The sequence below is a fragment of the Homo sapiens genome, chromosome 6, assembly GCF_000001405.40.
Source record: "Homo sapiens chromosome 6, GRCh38.p14 Primary Assembly".
Taxonomy (NCBI): Eukaryota; Metazoa; Chordata; class Mammalia; order Primates; family Hominidae; genus Homo; species Homo sapiens.
The window spans coordinates 57,923,332-57,943,920 of NC_000006.12; the positions used below are offsets into that span (position 1 = coordinate 57,923,332).

General features: G+C 46.7%; 2 pseudogenes across 5 annotated transcripts in view, besides 1 other annotated feature; both read right to left on the reverse strand.

The window, feature by feature from the left end:
- The window catches only part of GUSBP4 (GUSB pseudogene 4), a 28,377-nt pseudogene extending 14,779 nt beyond the window's left edge, over nt 1-13,598 (reverse strand). For both annotated transcript variants that reach the window (NR_132999.1, NR_133000.1), the window contains exons 1-4: nt 13,556-13,598; nt 6,773-6,960; nt 3,095-3,179; nt 1,086-1,260 (exon numbers count right to left, since the gene is read on the reverse strand). The product of NR_132999.1 is annotated as a GUSB pseudogene 4, transcript variant 1 (transcript). The remainder of the gene's footprint in view (nt 1-1,085; nt 1,261-3,094; nt 3,180-6,772; nt 6,961-13,555) is intronic.
- The window catches only part of LINC00680-GUSBP4 (LINC00680-GUSBP4 readthrough, transcribed pseudogene), a 41,566-nt pseudogene that overhangs the window by 3,451 nt on the left and 17,526 nt on the right, over nt 1-20,589 (reverse strand). For all 3 annotated transcript variants that reach the window (NR_132998.1, NR_003660.2, NR_132997.1), the window contains 3 exons: nt 6,773-6,960; nt 3,095-3,179; nt 1,086-1,260 (listed from right to left, as the gene is read on the reverse strand). The product of NR_132998.1 is annotated as an LINC00680-GUSBP4 readthrough, transcribed pseudogene, transcript variant 3 (transcript). The remainder of the gene's footprint in view (nt 1-1,085; nt 1,261-3,094; nt 3,180-6,772; nt 6,961-20,589) is intronic.
- Nucleotides 14,273-15,181: an enhancer, noted in NCBI's record as "H3K27ac-H3K4me1 hESC enhancer chr6:58263882-58264790 (GRCh37/hg19 assembly coordinates)". NCBI's record gives its function as "activates a minimal SCP1, AML or CMV promoter by ChIP-STARR-seq in naive H9 embryonic stem cells {active_cell/tissue: H9 hESC(naive)}" and the evidence as "EXISTENCE:reporter gene assay evidence [ECO:0000049][PMID:30033119]".

Here is a 20,589-nt window from a genome sequence, read left to right on the forward strand (position 1 = left end):
CGCCTGTAGTCCCAGCTACTCAGGAGGCTGAGGCAGGGGAATCGCTTCAGCCCAGGAGTTCGAGGCTGCAGTGAGCTATGATGACACCACCACACTCCAGCCTGGGCAACAGAACAAGACCCTGTCAGGAAAAAAATAAAAAATAAAAAAAGGCTAGCACAGTGGATCACACCTGTTCATCCCAGCACTTTGGGAGGCCAAGGCAAAAAGATCAATTGAGTCCAGGAGTTTGAGACCAGCCTGGGCAACATAGCAAGACCCTATCTCTAAAAAAATAAAAAGAAAAGGATCTTTTAGTTGGTGATTATGGTGCCAACATGGGCATTCCAGGCAGAAAGAATAGCTCAAGCAAGAGCAGGAGAGCAAATGAGGGCAGTGGAAACAGATCAGTGGCCAGGAGTGAGAAGAGAAGAGGATGAAAACCCAGGAGAGAGCAGAGGACACTGAGTGTCCTGACTAGGGGTTAGGACTTTGTCCTATGGGCCTGGGGGAGCCAATGATAGGACTCAAAAATTTTGATTTGCGGCCGGGCACAGTGGCTCACACCTGTAATCCCAGCGCTTTGTGAGCCTGAGGCAGGAGGATCACTTGATCCCAGGAATTCAAGACCAGCCCGGGGAACACAACAAGGCCCCATCTCTACAAAAGTAAAAAAAATTAGCCAGGCATGTTGGCCTGTGCCTATGGTCCCAGCTACTCAGGAGGCTGAGGTGGGAAGATCGCTTGGGCCCAGGAGGTTAAGGCTGCAGTGAGCAGTGATCGCACCACCGCACTCCAGCTTGGGTGACAGAGAGAGAGGTGGTCTCAAAAACACACAAAAATTTGGATTTGTTAGAAAGACCACTTGGGCACGGGTGACAGGAGGCTGTCTGGAAACAAGGCCAGTAAGGAGTCCACCTTTGAGGACCAAGCGAGTGGGGCAGAGGCCTGGCTGCTGGTGAGAAGGGAACGTGGACAGGGAAGTGGGTGGTGAGCCCAAAGCTGAAGCGAGGGGAGCACTGCAGTGGGCGCACGGCAGGGTGGGGGAGGCAAGTGGCATCTCTGCCCAGAGAGAATACACAAGCAGAAAGTTCAACACCGCTTACCTGGTGAAACCCTACAAGCGTTTCCACTCCATACGCGCTCTGAATAATGGGATTGTGATGTCTTACACCAATTCTCAAACTGGGTGGCCAGCTGCAGCTGAATCAACTCCAGGTGCCCGTAGTTGCGATACCAAGAGTAGTAGCTGTTCACACGGATCACATCCACATACAGAGCCTAGGACCAGAGCAGCAGAGCCCATTCAGCAACCACAAGACCACATGACTCAGTACTCACATGCTGTGGGGGCTCCTCTGACAGAGAAGGTAAGAAGGGGATGTAATCCCAGCACTCTGGGAGGCTGAGGCAGGAGGGTGGCTTGTGGCCAGGAGTTCGAGACCAGCCTGGGCAACACAGCAAGACCCCAGCTCTACAAAAAATAGTATCAAGAAAATTAGCATGGCACAGTGGCTCATGCCTGTAATCCCAGCACATTGGGAGGCCAAGGTGGGAGGATCACTTGAGCCCAGGAGTTTGAGACCAGCCTAGGCAACATCATAGGACTCCATTTCTACAAAACAAAACAAAAAGCCTAGAACGGGAAGAGCTGCCTCTCGGGGCTGAGAACACCAACTGCACCAATTTAGATCCTGAAATTACCCTGCCCCACAAGCAAAAAACATGGTCACAAAGTGGCCCAAAGGAGGCAGGCCTGTGATTGCACACTGACGCTCACGACCTGTGCAGCTGGGAAGGGCTGTGAGAGGCAGAGCAGCTGCCAACACGCAGTCCTCAGCCAAAACCCAGGGCCCCCGCCACTGGAACTGACTCCTCTCCAGGCAGCACTCCCAGCACTGGGCATCCCCTCACCTTGCCCTGGAGAAGCGCTCCCACCCAAGGGGCCAATGCAGTCATTCTCGCAGATAATCTTTTTTCGCTTTGTTTGGAAGACAGAGTCTCGCTCTGTTGCCCAGGCTAGAATGGAGTGGCACAATAGTGCAACCTCTGCCTCCCACGATCAAGCGCAGGTGTGGTGGCATGTGCCTGTTATCCCAGCTACTTGGGAGGCTGAGGCAGGAGAATTGCTTGAACCTGGGAGGCGGAGGTTGCAGTGAGCTGAGACTGTGCCACTGCACTCCAGCCTGGGCAACAGAGCAAGACTCTATCTTTAAAAAAAAAAAAGAATGCTAGTATCAGCCAGGCACGGTGGCTCATGCCTGTATTCCCAGCACTTTAGGAGGCTAAGGCAGGAGGATCACTTGAGCTCAAGAGTTTGAGACTGGCCTGGGCAACATAGTGAGATCCCATCTCTACAAAAACATTTAAAATTAGCCGGGCACAGTGGTGTACACCCGGAGTCCCAGCTACTTGGAAGGCTGAGGCAAGAGGGTTGCTTAGGCCCAGGAATTCAAGGCTGCAGTGAGCTGTGATCACACCACTGCAATCCAGCCAGAGCAACAGAGTAAGACCTTGCCTTCACAAAAAAAAAAAACAAACAAACAGAAAAAACACCTCAGGTTCCAACCCTGGAGTTACTAAATCAGGATCTCAGAATGCAGAGATCTGGCATTTCAAAAAAACTTCCCCTGGAGATTCTGATCAGCCAGGTTTGGGCCAGATGAACTCTAAGCTCACTTAAACCTTTGACATTTTATGAGTCTATTAAATCGAGTACAAAAAATGCTGAGTCCAAACTGAGCAAACAAATCCCATCTCCCTACACCCAGCCTCCTTGGATTCAGAAAGCCACACTGCCTGGAGAGTAAGCAGAGAGAGAATTGTCATTAACCCAAAGACCATCTTTGAAAACAGACTGGCTGCAGCTGAGTGCGGTGGCACACGCCTGTAACCCCAGCCCTTTGGAAGGCCGAGGCAGGAGGATCACTTGAGCCCAGGAGTTCGAGACCAGCCTGGGCAACATGGCAAGACCCTGTCTCTATCTTTCTAAGTAAAACAAAATAAAAAGCTCAGACTGGCAGCACATGGTTCTTTCCAGCTGTTCCCATGAGCAGGCTTCAGGACAAGCCCAGGCAAAGGCAGGGAGAAATGGGGTGGGGACCCCCAGGCTCACCCCCTTGTCTGCTGCATAGGTGACGTTGGTCACAAAGGTCACAGGCTGGGAGGGGTCCAAGGCTTTGGTGTGAGCAATCACCATCCTGTCCACAAAAGAGAGAAGACACAGGTTCCGTCAGTCCGGGAAAGGCTCAGACACCCTCCCATCCTCTCTGTCCCATCTTCCCCTGCCAGAACACAACTGGGGGCCAGGCATGATGGCTCACATGTGTAATCCCAGCACTTCAGGAGGCTGAGGCAGGCAGATCACTGAGGTCAGGAGTTCAAGAACAGCCTGGCCAACATGGCAAAACCCCATTTCTACTAAATATACAAAAATTAGCCAGGCATAGTGGCACGCATCTGTAACTCCAGCTACTTGGGAGGCTGAGGCACAAGAATTGCTTGAACCCGGGAGGTGGAGGTTGCAGTGAGCCGAAATCACGCTACTGCACTCCAGCCTGGGCCACAGAGCAAGACCCTGCCCCAAAACAAACAAACAAACAAACAAAAAAAAAAAAAAAAAAAGAAAGAAAAGAAAAGAAAAAAAAAAACAAAGCACAGAGCCGCTGCTTTCTTCCCTAACTTGAGATGTGTTTTACATAAGGGCACGTTCCTCTAGTCCTAGACCAAGCTCTCTAACAACACTCTTTCTCCCCCACCCCTGAATCCAATTCCCCTAGAGGCGTAGCCACCCTGCCAGGTACACAGTGCTGAGGTCACTGGACTGAACACTGCCAAAAATGAGGTTTGCTTCCTGAAATAGCTCTTGAACACAGGAGTGAATGGGCTGTGGATTCAGGTGGAATATTTATTAATGCATCAAGCAAACAGGTAGTGCGAGGTGGGAGGTAGGCACGGGGCTGGGTGCTAGGTGCTCAGTAATGACTCAAATCTAAGTCCACAGGTCCTGGGCAGTGGGAGTGGAGATGCATGCACAGAAAAACGGTGCAAGTGCCAGGCAAGGTGGCTCACGCCTAGAACCCCAGCACTTTGGGAGGCTTACTTGAGACCAGGTGCTTGAGACCAGCCTGGGCAACATAGCAAGACCTTGTTTCTACAACAAATTTAAAAATTAGGGCCGGGCATGGTGGCTCAAGCCTGTGAGCACTTTGGGAGGCCAAGGCAGGTGGATCACGAGGTCAAGAGTTCGAGACCAGCCTGGCCAACATGGTGAAACCCCATCTCAACAAAAAATAAAGAAGAAAACTAGCTGGGCATGGTGGCGTGAGCCTGTAATCCCAACTACTTGGGAGGGTGAGGCAGGAGAACTGTTTGAACCCAGGAGGTAGAGGATGCAGTGAGCCAAGATCACAACACTGCTCTCCAGCCTGGGAGACAGAGCAAGACTCTGACTCGTGGGGAAAAAAAATATTAAAATTTAGCCTGGCAAGGCAGCGCATGTCTATGGTCGCAGCTATTTGGGAGGCTGAGTGGGGAGGATCGCTTAAGCCCAGGAGGTCGAGATGGCAACGAGCTATGATTGCACCACTGCACTCCAGCCTGGGCAACAGAGTGAGACCCTGACTCTGAAAAACAAACAATGAAAGAAATGTTGCGAATGGAAATGACAAGTGGTGGCAGGAATTGGGCACTCTATGAGACAACAGACACATCCCGGATTGGAGAGTCAGGGACAGGCTCTTAGAAGAAATGGCCTTTATGCTGAGTCAAGTTAACCAGGAGGGATGAAGGGAAGAGGCTCCCAACAGAGGGACCAGTCCGTGCTCAGAGCTCCCAGCATCTGCCCAAGGCCTCCACAGAACAGACTGTTGTGTTTTTTTGTTTTGTTTTGTTTTGTTTTGAGATACAGAGTCTCATTCTGTAGCCCAGGCTGGAATGCAGTGGCATTATCTCAGCTCACTGCAATCTCTGCCTCCTGGTTCACCTGAGGCGATTCTTCTGCCTCAGCCTACCTAGTAGCTGGGATTACAGACGTCCACCACCATGCCCAGCTAATTTTTGTATTTTTAGTAGAGACAGGATTCACTACCTGTTGACTAGGCTGGTCTCGAACTCCTGACCTCAGGTGATCCACCCACCTCAGCCTCCCAAACTGCTGGGATTACAGGCGTGACCCACCGCATCCGGCCTAGACTGTTGTTGAAGCTGGTTTTCTTCTTCTTTCCTCAGTTCTTTTCTTTTACATCTTCCCCCCATCATTGCTCTGCCCATCCGAAGGCTGTGGCTGGCACAGGACAGAACAGAACCTCCTAGCCTCAAGTTCCAAACCCACATTCTCCAATAGCCAGGCTCTCAGATGTGAAGCTTCAAAGCCTTGTGACAGCCTGGCTGAACCTCTCCAGCCTGGGCGCTACCTCCATTTCCTGCCCCGGAAACAGGCATCTCCTCTGGCCACCTCCCAAAGCCTGTCTGGAAGCCTCAGGCACCCGCTCCTGGAAGCCTGTACGATTCACAACAAAGGGCCTGTCCACCCAGTCATGCTGAGCACACCCCTATTCCCCCGAGCTCTGAATTGTCCTTTGCCCTGGCTAGGACAACATCTCAGAGCCTTCTGCCTGCTGCAGACTCGGCTCAGCCCAAATCACTCCATGAAATTGGGGTGTGGCATCTGCCTCAAGGAGCATTTCTACAACCTCTGCTGCCTCTACCGCAAATGAAACTGGCTCTCACCCACTGGCTCTCGGTGACGGGCACAGTGCGGAGCCCCACAGGGAGTGTGTAGAAGTCAAAGGCCCCAGTGACTTCTGTGCAGTCAGCCGCACCTATGACAGCCAAAGCGCCAGGTGTGAGCGCCCCGACAGCCTGAGCCCCATCTGGCCTGCCCTACAGCAGGAAGACCCCTCGTGCATGCACCCCAGCAGTCGCCTCTGGGCCTGCAGAGAAGCAGCAATCAGAGGCTCTGCCCTTCACTGGCTGACCCTGGGACCTGCCCTTCAAAATCAGGCCTTCTCCTTGACCAGACGAGGTGGCTCATGCCTGGAATCCCTACCCTTTGGGAGGCTAAGGCAGGAGGATCACCTGAGTTCAGGAGTTCAAGACCAGCCTGGGCAACAGAGTAAGACCCCAACTCTATAAAAAGGATTTTTTTTTGAGACAGTCTCACTCTGTCACCCAGGATAGAGTGCAGTGGCATGATCTCAATTCACCGCAGCCCCTGCCTCCTGGGTTCAAGCAATTCCCCTGCCTCAGCCTCCCGAGTAGCTGGGATTACAGACGTGCACCATCATGCCCTGCAAATTTTCATATTTTAGTAGAGACGGGGTTTCACCATGTTGGCCAGGCTGGTCTCCAACTCCTGGCCTAAAGTGATCCGCCTGCGTCAGCCTCCCGAAGTGCTGGGATTACAGGCGTGAGCCACCATGCCCGGCCTACAAAAAAAAATTGTTTAATTAGCCAGGCATGGTGGCATGTGCCTGTAGTCCCAGCTACTCAGGAGGCCAAGGTAGGAGGATTGCAGCTCAAAGCTGCAGTGAGCTGTGATCAGGCCATTGCATTCTAGCCTGGGTGACAGAGTGAGATCATCACAATAAATAAATAAATAAATAAATAAATAAATAAATAAATAAATATAAATAAATAAATAAAAAATCTGGGCCTCCCACCAAGGGTGGGAAACATCAGAAAGCTCAGAGGACCACACCTGCCCGTTCACCTGTCCTGGGCTCCTGCTGAAGCCAGGGCTACCAGATGGGGGCAAAAGACCTCCCTTAAGCAAGTCCCAAACCACCATTACCTCCCACGAGTACAGGTAGGCGGGGTGTTCGTGCATCAGGTACGGCCACCAGAGGTTGGCACCCAGCACCTTCAGCTGGCCCTGGGTCCCAGCCTGGTTGTCCACGACTTTGTTTTCTGCATTCAAAAGACACACTTCCAACTTGAACTGGTTACTGCACTTGATGGAGATCTGGTAATTCACCAGCCCTGCAGGAGGCAAGAGAGACCAGGGCTTAGGGAGGGACATGACCTGGGTCACACAAACGGGAATGCCCCACAATGACCACTCCCAGGCACTCTCATTTGCTTCTGTTGCTTTTTTTTTTTTTTTTTTTTTTTTTTGAGATAGAATCTCGCTCTGTCGCCCAGGCTGGAGTGCAGTGGCATGATCTGGACTCACTGAAACCTCTGCCTCCCAGGTTCAAGTGATTCTCCTGCCTCAGCCTCTGGAATAGCTGGGATTACAGGCACCTGCCACCACATCCAGTTAATTTTTGTATTGTTAGTAGAGACGGGGTTTCACCACATTAGCCAGGATGGTCTTGATCTCCTGACCTCGTGATCCGCCTGCCTCAGCCTCCCAAAGTGCTGGGATTACAGGCTTGAGCCACCGTGCCCGGCCCTGAACCAATGCGCCCGGCCCGCTTTTTTTTAATTTAATTTTTTATGTTATTATTATTATTTTTTTGAGATGGAGTTTCACTCTGTCACCCAGGCTGGAGTGTAGTGCTGCGATCCCGACTCACTGCAACCTCCACCTCTGGAGTTCAGGTGATTCTCCTGCCTCAGCCTTCCGAGTACCTGGGAATACAGGAATGCACCACCATGCCCGGCGAATTTTTGTATTTTTAGTAGAGATGGAGTTTTGCCATGTTGGCCAGGCTGGTCTCGAACTCCTGAACTCAGGTGATCCACCCGCCTCAGTCTCCCAATAGATTAGATATATTATTAATGAATTGCTTCCTTTAACACCCTATTCATTGAATTTTCCAGTAAACCACAATTACTAATTACTCCTGAAATCAGAAAAGAGGTTAAAAAGATTTTATAACAGTATCCTATGAAATCTACTACTTTCAAGTAATAGTAGTTGAATTACCAAAACCTGTCACTCAAGCCAATGACTACAATTAAGATATCAGTAACATTTCCTAGATAAATAAAGTCAATTAATTATATTTGCATCTGGGAAATAGAGAAAGTACATATAAGCCATGATTTTGAAGTCAAAAGAGAGAGAATATTTGGCAAGGAGGGGTGAGTTATAGTATGTAATTATAACATATAGTAGTTTTTTGTATGCTGGTAACTAATTTTAATTTCCTACATTTTTATGTACATTTCTGCTATTCTTGTCCTATTTTCCTAATCATCTTTCTATATGGATGACTACATAAGTCTGAGAATACCAAAAGAGACAGACACAGAACCAATCGGATTCCTTTCTTCTTGAAGCTTCTGCACAGCAAAAGAAACTATCAACAGAGTGAACAGACAACCTACAGAATGGGAGAAAATTTTTGCAACAATGCACGTGACAAAGATCTAATGTCCAACACTGATAAGGAACTTAAACAAATTTACAAGGAAAAAAAAATCTCATTAGAAAGTGGGCAAAGGACATAAACAGACACTTCAAAAGAAGACACACATGTGGCCAACAAGCATATGAAAAAAAGCTCAATATCACTGATCATTAGAGAAATGCAAATCAAAACCACAATGGCATACCATCTCACACCAGTCAGAATGGTTATTATTAAAAAGTCAACGCCGGGCATGGTGGCTCATGCCTGTAATCCCAGCACTTTAGGAGGCCAAGGCAGGCAGATCGCATGAGGTCAGGAGTTCCAGACCAGACTGGACAACCTGGTGAAACCCCGTGTCTACTAAAAATACAAAAATTAGCCCAGCGTGGTGGCGGGTGCCTGTAATCCCAGCTACTCAGGATGCTGAGGCAGGAGAATCACTTGAACCCGGGAGGCAGAGGTTGTAGTGAGCCGAGATCATGCCATTGCACTCTCCAGCTTAGGTGACAGAGCGAGACTCTGTCTCAAAAAAAAAAAATATTTGAATTTTGTTTAAATCGCTAACACATACTGGGCATTTAATAACAAAAAAAAAGGACATGAGATTGTGATCCTTATGAGGGTTTGAGAGGCATTTCACTAGGGTTCAACAGAGAGCAGTCTGAAACATACTGTAATAATTTAATCCAATGGCTCATCTACAGCACCTAAAAAGATTACAGCAGATTCTCATTATTCAGTGTAGTTACGGTCTAGAAAGTTCCATGAACAAATAAAAAGTTAGGTTTCAGCAAGCTACTGGTCACATTTTTGTAAGCTTACCAACACCTACTTTTGTTGTATGTGTGCTTATTTAATATATATTGTTGGCCAGGCACAGTGGCTAATGCCTGTAATCCCAGCACTTTGGGAAGCCAAGGCGGGCAGATCATTTGAGGTCTGGGGTTCGAGACCAGCCTGGCCAATGTGATGAAACCCCGTCTCTACTAAAACTACAAAAAAAAAAAAAAAAAAATTAGCCAGGCATGGTGGCGCATGCCTGTAGTCTTAGCTACTTGGGAGGCTAAGGCAGGGGAATCGCTTGAACCCAGGAGGCAGAGGTTGCAGTGAGCCAAGACTGCACCACTGCACTCCAGCCTGAGCAACAGAGTGAGACTCTATCTCAAAAAAAATAATAATAATTAATTAAATGAATGAATAAATAAATAATATACAATGTTTATTCATTAACATTAAACTCACAGCCAATGGCACTACAGCACTCACGCCTGGAGCTTATTTAATGCTTGTATTTTCTCTGTAAGGCACATCACAGACTTCTTGGACTTGTGAATGCTAAGCAGCACTTCAGCACTATGCTTGGGGGTTAATTTACATGGCAAAACAACCAACAAACAGCACAAAAATAGGAAAAGCATGGCATTAAGTAGACCACAAAAAGGATACCTGACTATTGTATGAGAGCTGAAAAAGGAGGCAGAATATCATCCTGTTCAAACTCAAATTCTTTGACACTCTACGCAAACACATGACTATGAAAGTGCTGTGAGTACTGATTTGGGGGTTACAAAAAATAGTAGGTGAGTTCACAAATACAAAAGCTGAAAACAAGGAGGATCGACTGTATTTTTGTAGACAATCTAATCTCATAGAAGATTTCAATTCAGACAAAAATCATGAGAATTACTGTATTACAAAAGGGCACTACATGGGGGAAAAGAGTAAAAATCAGAATTAAAACAAAGGTTCAAAATTCTGCATCAACCATATCCAGTTACACTTTAATATGTTTGTGGCAGACTACATTATTGTTCCCAACTCATCACCCCTCCCTATATCTACAACCTTTCCCCAAGACAATGCAGTTCCTCCTGCTAGAGATCAGGTATATTTATCTATACTATCAACGTTAGCCATGGACAAGGTATGTGCTTTGGCTGACTGAATGTTAGTGGACATGATAGAAGCAATGGCTTAAAATGTACTTCCAGAACTGGAGTTTCCTTGTGATTCCATCACTGTGACAAAAACACATTCTCAGGTAGTCCACTGATCCAAGGGGGAACAAACACACAGAAAACATACCTACACTCTATCTGCAGCTTGCAGCCTCACCAAGCCAAGAACAGTCAACTCACAGATATGTTAGCAAAAATAAATGTTTTTCGTACCTTAAGTTTTATATAATTATTGACCTATAGTTAACTGACATACAATATACATTAATCTTAAAATATCATTATCCCATTAAAAATATTTACATTAAAAACTGAGACCACTTTCTTTCCTCCTTTTTTTTTTTTTAAATTAAGAGACAGGGTGTCTCAATGTTGCCCAAGCTGGAGTTCAGTGGCTAGTGGCTATTCACAAGAACGATCATCCGATCATCGCACACTACCTCAAACTCCTGGGATCAAGCAATCCTCCTGCCTCACCTTTCCAAGTAGCTGGGACTATAAGTGTGTACCACAGCATGTCAGCTCTCTCTCTCCTTCTTGACCTAAAGCCTAGCATAAAATTAGCTAAGTAGAATGTTTCCAAAGATGCCTGCATCAGTATCTCCCATCCCACATAATTTCTGTTTGATTTTGCCATTCACCCATAAAATGGTGGGATCTACCTCCCCTCCTTGCAAATTTGAGCTGGCCCTCTGATCCTGTCTAAGATCTGAAGCCAGATATTAAGCTACTTCATTAATTTCCATGTTTGTCCTCTATGCAACCTAGCAATCAAGCAAGAAGTCAAAACCTACTGATATAGTTTGGATGTGTCCCCACCCAAATCTCACCTTGCATTGTAATAATTCCCACGTGTCAAGGGTGGGGCCAGGTGCAGATAACTGAATCATGGGGATGGTTCCCCCCATACTGTTCTCGTGGTAGTGAATAAGTCTCATGAGATCGGATGGTTTTATAAATGGGAGTTCCCCTGCACATGCTCTCTCCTGCCTGCCACTATGTGAGACATGCTTTTGCACCTCCTTGCCTTCCACCATGATTGTGAGGCCTCCCCAGCCATGCAGAACTGTGAGTCAATTCAACCTCTTTCCTTTATAAATTACCCAGTCTCAGGTATGTCTTTATTTGCAGTGTGAGAACAGATTAATACAATAAGTTGATACCAGTAGAGTGGGGTGCTGCTGTAAAGATACCCGAAAATGTGGAAGCAACTTTGGAAATGGGTAACAGGGAGAGGCTGGAACAGTTTGGAAGGCTCAGAAGAGGATAGGAAAATGTGGGAAAGTTTGGAACTTCCTAGAGACTTGTTGAATGGCTTTGACCAAAATGTTAACAGTGATATGAACAATAAGGTCCAGGCGGAGGTGGTCTCAGAGGGAGATGAGGAATTTGTTGGGAAATGGAGTAAAGTCACTCTTACTATGCAAAGACACTGCAGGCATTGTCCACCTGTATTAGAAACGGGCATAAGATAGGCGGGAAAGAGTGAAAATAAGAATTTTTTTCTAGAGTTCCCTAGAGATCTGTGGAACTTTGAACTTGAGAGAGATGATTTAAGGTATCTGACAGAAGACATTTCTAAGCAGCAAAGCATTCGAGAAGAAGCAGAGCATAAAAGTTCAGAAAATTTGTAGCCTGATGATGCAACAGAAAAGAAAAATCTATTTTCTGAGGAGACTGGGTTGTAGAAATTTGCATAAGTAATGAGGAGCCAAATGTTAATCACCAAGACAATGGGGCAAACGTCTCCAGGGCATGTTAGAGACCCTCACAGCAGACCCTCCCATCACAGGCCAGGAGGCTTAGAAAGAAAAATGGTTTTGTGGGTCCAGAAACCCCTGCTGTGTGCAGCCTAGGAACTTGGTGCCCTGCATCCCAGCTGCTCCTGCCATAGGTAAAAGGGGCCAAGGTACACCTCAGGCCATGGCTTCAGAGGATGCAAGTTCCAAGCCTTTCAGGTTCTAGGTGGTGTTAAGCCTGCAGATGCACCGAAGTCAAGAATTAACGTTCACGAACCTCCGCCTAGATTTCAGAAGATGTATGAAAATGCCTGGAAATCCAGGCAAAAGTTTGCTGCGGGGGGGAAGGGGGGCCCTCATGGATAACCTCTGGTAGGGCAGTGTCAAAGGGAAATATGGGGTTGGAGCCCCCACACAGAGTCCCCACTGGGGTACTGCCAAGCAGAGCTGTGAGAAAAGGGCCACCATCCTCCAGACCCCAGAATGGTAGATCCACTGACAGCTTGCACTGTGTGCCTGGAAAAGCTGCAGACACTCAATGCAGCCAGAAGGGGGGCTGTACCCTGCAAAGTCACAGGGGCGGGGCTGCCCAAGACCCTGGGAACCCACTTCTTGCATCACCTAGATGTGACACATGGAGTCAAAGGAGGTCATTTTGGAGCTTTAAGATTTGCCTGCTGGGTTTTGGACTTGCATGGGGCCTGTAGCTCTTTCGCTTTGGCCAATTTCTCCCATTTGAAACGAGTGTATTTACCCAATGCTTGTATCCCTGTGTATCTAGAAAATAACTCACTTGCTTTTGATTTTACAGGCTCATAGGTGGAAGGGACTTGCCTTGTCTCAGATGAGACTTTGGACTATGGAATTTTGAGTTAATGCTGAAATAAGAGTTTGGGGGACTTTGGGGAAGGCATGATTGCTTTTGAAATGTGAGGACATGAGATTTGGGAGGGGCCAGGGAAGAATTATATGGTTTGGCTCTGTCCCCACCCAAATCTCATCTTGAATTGTAACAATTCCCATGTGTCAAGGGTGGGGCCAGGTGGAGATAATTGAATCATGGAGGCAGTTTCCCCCATGCTGTTCTCATGGTAGTGAATAAGTCTCATGAGATCTGATGGTTTTATAAATGGGAGTTCCCCTGCACGTGCTCTCTCCTGCCCACCATGTCTGACTAAATTTTGTATTTTTACTAGAGACGGGGTTTCACTATGTTGGCCAGGCTGGCCTCCAACTCCTGATCTCGTGATCCGTCCACCCCGACCTCCCAAAGTGCTAGGATTATAGGCATAAGCCACCACACCCGGCCTCTTTTTTTTCTTTTTCTTTTTTTATCTGGAGACTGAGTTATGCACTCGTTGCCCAGGCTGGAGTGCAATGGTGCGATCTCAGCTCACTGCAGTCTCCACCTCAGCAGGAGAGCAGGAATCTTCAGTGATCCACGGGCAGATCTGCAGCCATTGTGGGCACCTGTTCCTCCCGCGACCTTTGTGCCCGTGTCTCTCTCTCCTGTACCTATTGCACGACCCCCCACGTCCGCCTCCTGTCATTGCCAGCAAGTGCCTTGCATGGGTACCTGGCTGCACTTATTAATCCATTACGGTCGCTCTGTCACTGGTGCCATTATGTGCTCACGCGCCCACTCCCTCAGGTTTAGAAGGCGTGTTGCCCGGCAACAGAAGAATCTGCTGGCTTAGCCTTTGGCCGAGTTGGCAGCTGGACGAGGACGCTCAGAGCCCAGCTCTCGAGAGTTCAAGCATCCGACGGTTCCCCACTGCTCCCAGGAGCGGTTACCCGGGCACTCTGTGCCCCTCATTCCTGTTTGGGCCAAGGCCGAGGACCTCCGAGTAGGGCTCAGTTGCCTGGAGCCCCTTCAGCCCATCCCCGAGTTCACTTTGCTTGTGGGATCTCCCCGTTGCTCCTGCCCCTGGACTGAGTGGCAGGCCATCCTACAAGCACCCGGACACTCGACATCAGTGGTGTCAAGACAACTCTAAGAAGGTTTTCCGTGATCCTGCAAAACCTGTGTTCCATCCTGGTGATTCTGCCTTCAATTTCACTGTACAGGTACCACAGTAAGCCAGTGCTGTCTGCTCCGAGTTCCAGGGCATCCCCCAGCTCAGCCACTACACTGAGCACAAGGACTCTGTGGGGCCCAGGAGCAGGTAGTCACCCCTTTGGGGTCCACAACACCCGGCTGTCCCCAGACTTGTGTCCAGGGAAGATAGTGTTAAGGGCCCTCAAGGAGAGCGGGGCAGGGATGCCTGAGCAGGACAAGGACCTTAGAGTCCAAGAGAATCCTGATGATCAGAGAAGAGTCCCCGAGGTCACTGGGGATGCACGGTCTGCATTTTGGCCCCTGCAGGACAATGGAGTCCTCTTTCCCTTTGTGCCCAGTCCCGGGCATCTGCAGACATACCTCCATGCCCAGAGGTCAGAAATCAGATATAACCAGACATCCCAGACCACCTGGACGAGCTCATGCACCAACCAAAATGCCATCTCCAGCTCCTACAGCTCTGCGGGAGGCTTGCTGGGGCTAAAGTGGAGGAGGGGGCCAGCGGAGCAAAAGAGCAGGGCAGGGATGCCTGAGCAGGACAAGGACCCCAGAGTCCAAGAAAATCCTGATGATCAGAGAACGGTCCCCGAGGTCACCGGGGATGCACGGTCTACAGTTCGGCCCCTGCGGGACAGTGGAGGCCTCTCTCCCTTTGTGCCCAGGCCCGGGCCTCTGCAGACAGACCTCCATGCCCAGAGCTCAGAAATCAGATATAACCAGACATCCCAGACCTCCTGGACGAGCTCGAGCACCAAACGAAATGCCATCTCCAGCTCCTACAGCTCCACGGGAGGCTTGCTGGGGCTAAAGCAGAGGAGGGGGCCAGCCTCATCCCGCTGCCAGCTGACCCTCAGTTACTCAAAGACAGTGAGTGAGGACAGGCCTCAGGCTGTCTCTTCGGGTCACACACGGTGTGAAAAGGCGGCAGATACAGCACCAGGGCAGACACTCGCCCCAAGGGGTGGCTCCCCCAGATCCCAGGGCTCTAGGCCCCGTAGACGCAAGATTGCCCTGCTGCCACACAGGTGAGGGGAGCCTTTGATGCTGCCACCTCCCTTAGAGCTGGGGTACCGGGTCACGGCTGAAGACCTGCACCTGGAAAAAGAGGGGGCATTCCAGCGGATCAACAGTGCGCTGCAGGTTGAGGACAAGGCCATCTTGGACTGCAGACCCTCATGGCCTTCCCACACTCTGTCCTCACTTGCAACAGGGGCTTCTGGTGAGCCTCCCGTTTCTAAAGCACCCACTATGGATGCACAGCAGGACAGACCCAAGTCCCAAGACTGCCTGGGCCTAGTGGCCCCCCTTGCATCTGCTGCAGAGATCCCCTCTACAGCTCCCGTGTCTGGGAAGAAGCACAGACCACCAGGACCCCTGTTCTCCTCCTCAGATCCCCTTCCTGCCACCTCTTCCCACTCCCGGGACTCAGCCCAGGTCACCTCGCTGATTCCTGCGGCCTTCACAGCTGCAAGCATGGATGTCGGCATGAGAAGAACAAGGCCTGGCACGTCGGCTCCTGCAGCTGCCGCGGCAGCCCCTCCCCCCTCCACATTGAACCCCACGTCGGGGTCACTACTCAATGCAGTGGATGGAGGCCCTTCACATTTCTGGGCCTCAGCCACAGCTGCAGCAGGTGCCCAGAGGTCAGAAGTGAGATATAACCAGAGATCCCAGACCTCCCGGACCAGATCGTGCCGCAAACAAAATGCCAGCTCGAGCTCCCACAGCTCTACGGAAGGCCTCCCGGAACGAAAGGATGCCGGCATGAGAAGAATGTTTTGTGTTCGAAATTGTTTGAGGGGTTTGGGTTTATTTTTGTTGGTTTTTTTTTTTTTGCTTACATGGGCATCCTTCAGCTTTTAATAATCTGAAAAATTCTATTTACCCATTGTCAATGTGTATAAATTAACCTGAGTCAATTTTATACAATAAAAGGTGAACTTTTATGCATGAAACAATAATTTAACAAAAAATGTACTGGGAGAAGAATGTTCATTACAAATATAGGAAACATAAATATTACCAAATATTGGCAAGCACTAAAATGTTCAGAAATATAAGTCTATTACAGTTATAGCTCTCTCAAGCAAAAAAATAGCAGAGAAAAACTTAGTTTACCTTAGGGGCTATTTATTTACTTAGAGATTTGTTAAAAGGTCAAATGGGGTCACACAGAATACTAAGAAGAGCTGTTCACCCAGGCCTCACTAAGAACTCTTCTTCATTCAGTAGCTATATGGTAATATGACAACTGCTCCTACGACCCAAAGAGGAACTACAGCAACTACTCTTTAGCATCTGTTGCTCCCAACTCTGCTTTGCAATTATATGACTCAAGCATTCTGGCTCCGTTAACTATTACTGCTGTTACTCCCAATTAAATTCCCTCTAAAAAATAAAAATTTTTAAAGCTGCAATTTAAGCTTTCTGCTGCCTCATGACTTCAATTCCATCAGAGTTATGCATTGTTTCCTCTGTACATCTTTGCTCTGCTTCCATTGCTAATTCCCTAGTAAAGTGTTGTATATTCAAAGTTCCAAAGAAACAGAATATCCAAGACATCACCAATCATCCAAAACACAGTGTAGGAGGCCACAGTTAAGAGAAGCAAGACCATTAGCTCTTTTTATAGGCTTGAGAACAACAGGATGCTTTGGTCCTGTATCAGCAGGATGCTTTTCGGGTAGATCCTACTGCCACCCTAGCTATGGGCACATGTCAGAGTCCCATGTAATAAAGGAGACAAAAGGAAACCACCATGAGTATAAACTAAGAAAAGTACTCCAAGGTTTCTAAGAATGGAGCTGTATAACTCACTTTGCCCCATTTGTTACTTCTCCACGGTACTTACCACCACCTATTACATATATTTTGTTTATAGTCAGTCTTCCCTCATTAGAATGAAAGTTCCGTGAGGACAGGACTATACAGTCAGCCCTCAGTATCCATGGGGGACTAGTTTCAGGATCTCCTGAGGATAACAAAGGATACTCAAGTCCCTGATATAAAATGACACAGTATTTGCACATCACCTTTGCACATCCTCCCATATACTTCATATCAACTCTAGATCACTCATAATATCCGATGTAAATGTCATGCAAATAGTTATTGTACTATATTGTGTAAGGGATAAGGAGAAGAAAAAAGTCTGTACATGTTCAGTACAGACGCAATTTCTTTTCCCAATATTTCCAATCCTTGGTTGGCTTAATAAACAGATGTAGAACCCAGGAATAAGTTCTGGTGTCCTATTGCATAGTAGGATGAGTATAGTTAACAATAACGTATCATATATTTGAAAATAGCCAGAAGAGTAGATTTTGAATTTTCTCCCTACAGAAAAATCATTATGCAAATTACCCTGATTTGATCATTACACATTGAGTACGTGTATTAAAACATCACATTGTACCCCGTATATATGTACAATTATTATGTGTCAATAAAAATTTAATGTCAATATGTGAAATAAAATGAAAAAATAAAAATTTTTAAAGCTGTAATTATCTCCATCTGGTAGGAATATATATAATCTGAAATAAAAAATATATTTGTAATTGTTAGGACAAAATAGATTATAGATTATTTTAAGTTTGCAAATTATAAATTATAAAATTCTCACAGAACCTGAAAAATTATTGGTATTGTTAAATATTTAAAAAGCTGTCCTTGGAGAGAAAGAAACTTATCAGATTTACATCAACAAGTGTAATATATCAGCCTATTACCATCTGCTACAGACTGCATGTTTGTGTTCCCTCAAAATTCATATGATAGGCCGGGCGCGGTGGCTCATGCCTGTAATCCCAGCACTTTGGGAGGCCGAGGCGGGTGGATCACGAGGTCAGGAGATTGAGATCATCCTGGCTAACATGGTAAAACCCCGTCTCTACTAAAAATACAAAAAATTAGCCGGGCGCAGTGGCGGGCGCCTTAGTCCCAGCTACTGAGGAGGCTGACGCAGGAGAATGGCGTGAACCCAGGAGGCGGAGCTTGTAGGGAGCCGAGATTGTGCCACTGCACTCCAGCCTGGGTGACAGACAGAGCGAGACTCTGTCTCAAAAAAAAAAAAAAAAAAAAAAAAAATTCATATGATAAAGCCCTAACCCCCAAGGTGAGGATATTGGGAGGCGTGGCCTTTAGGAGAGAATTAGGTTTAGATGAGGTCATGAGAATAGAGCCCCTATGGTGGCATTACTTCCTTTATAAGAAGAGACACTAGAGCTGCTTTTCTCCCTACCATGTGAGGATACTGAGAGAAGATGGCCATTTCCAATCTAGGAAGCAGACCCTCTTTAAGAAACGTAATTTGCCAACACTTTGATCTTGCACTTCCAGCCTCCAGAACTGTGAGAAATATCTCTTGTTTTTTTTTGTTTTTTGTTTTTTTTTTTTTTTTTGAGACAGAGTCTCATTCTGTCATCCAGGCTGGAGTACAGGGGTGCGATCATGGCTCACTGCAACCTCCGCCTCCCAGGTTCAAGCAATTCTCCCACCTCAGCCTCCCAAGTAGCTCAGACTACAGGCGTGCACCACCATGCCCAGCTAATTTTTGTAGAGACAAGGTTTTGAAATGCTGCCCAGGCTAGTCTCAAACTCCTGAGCTCAAGTTATCCACCTGCCTCGGCCTCCCAAAGTGTTAGGAATACAGGCATAAGCCACCACGCCTGGTCAAAATACCTACTGTTTAAGCTACCTAATTTATGGTATTCTGTTTTAGCAGCTGAAGGAGACTAAGATACCATCCTATAAGCTACAGACCAGCACTATCCAATAGAACTTTATATGAGGAGGAAATGTTTTATATCTGTGCTATCCATTATGTTAGCCACTAGCCACATGTATCCATCAAGTATTTGAAATATGGCTAGTGCAACTAAAGAACTTAATAATTTTTTTTTTTTTTTTTTGAGATGGAGTCTCGCTCTGTCCCCCAGGCTGGAGTGCAGTGGCACCATCTCGGCTCACTGCAAACTCTGCCTCCCAGGTTCACGCCATTCTCCTGCCTCAGCCTCCTGAGTAGCTGGGACTGCAGGCGCCCGCCACCACGCCCGGCTAATTTTTTGTATTTTTAATAGAGATGGGGTTTCACCATCTTAGTAAGGATGGTCTCGATCTCCTGACCTCATGATCTGCCCGCCTCGGCCTCCCAAAGTGCTGGGATTACAGGCGTGAGCCACCACGACCGGCCAGTTTTTATTTTATCGTATTTAAATAACCACATGTGGCTAGTGGCTAATGTATTGAACACTACAGCTGTAGACAATATGAAATAAATATAAAGCAGTCTCAACTTTGGAAAAACAGAAGACTCTTACTGCCTCATAATATAGATGAAAAATGAAATACTAAGTTAAGTAAAATGTTCTTTAAAGAACAAAAACAAAAGAAAACCTAATGAAAGCTTTAAAAGTCCATTGGATAATAATGCTACCAGTACTAAGGAAGTACAGCCCCTAAAAGTGACTTGCAGTCACAAATATAAAAATGACTATTCAAGTGAACTCCTAAGGTAAAAATTTGTTATTCACCATGCTCCAAAATGGTCTGTAATATTCTTCAGAGATGGCATGGTAAAGTACGATACAAGGGTAATATTAACAGTATGCTGTCACAGGTGCCATTCTCTTAAAAAAGAAATCCCAAAATAAATATAAATGGAAAGCAAATAATTAAACACACTAAATACAGATTATTACAAAAATCCATAAGGAATTCTGGTGGAGAAACAACTTAATAATCAAAATCCCAAATATAAAATTTATCTATCAAAAATGAAAATGCTGACATACAGTTTCTTGCAAAAAAAAAGTTTAGAAATTTTTAAATATAAATAAATAAGAACATCTTTTTAAACAAAATCTTAGGCTGTTGAGTCCCGTTTATTTTCTACACCTCTAATTCCAAAGCTGAGAAACAAACGGATACTTCAGGAAAAAAATAATAACTCATGACAATTTGTCTTTTGGACACAGAATATAAAGGAAAAATAAAATTTATGTCTATCTGGCCAGACCTCAATTGAATTTTTCATCCTAGCTGGATCCTAAATCCAAATCAGATACTTATCAATAAAACTGTTTTTCTGCACAGCTACTACTAGCTAGAAACTGCTTCTCCAAATTTATACTGACCATTTCTTCTAAAATGTGGAAATTCTAGCTGATAGTTTTTAAAAAACCATTCTTAATGTACTGATTCCAGAGTACTAATTCCAATGGCCAAGAAAATTCAAAAAGATTTGGAGTGGTCTCTGAGATTAGAATGTGTGACAATGTGAAGCATTTCACTACAATGTCCAAGATTAAAGTGTCAAAGCAGATGAGGAAATGAAGCTCCCAAAACAGATGCCCATGAGAAAGGAGCCCAGAAAAGCAAAAGGGGCCACAGCCCAGGACCTTACAATAAAGAAAAGTGGCTCTGGCCCCAGGGTATCCTTCCTGAAACACTGGGAAAGAATGAAGTCCTTAGCAAAATTCTGACCAGGATCCCAAATTTAAATGTAAGCTTGTAAGGAAAACACCTATGGACTTGTGTTTAATTTGTCC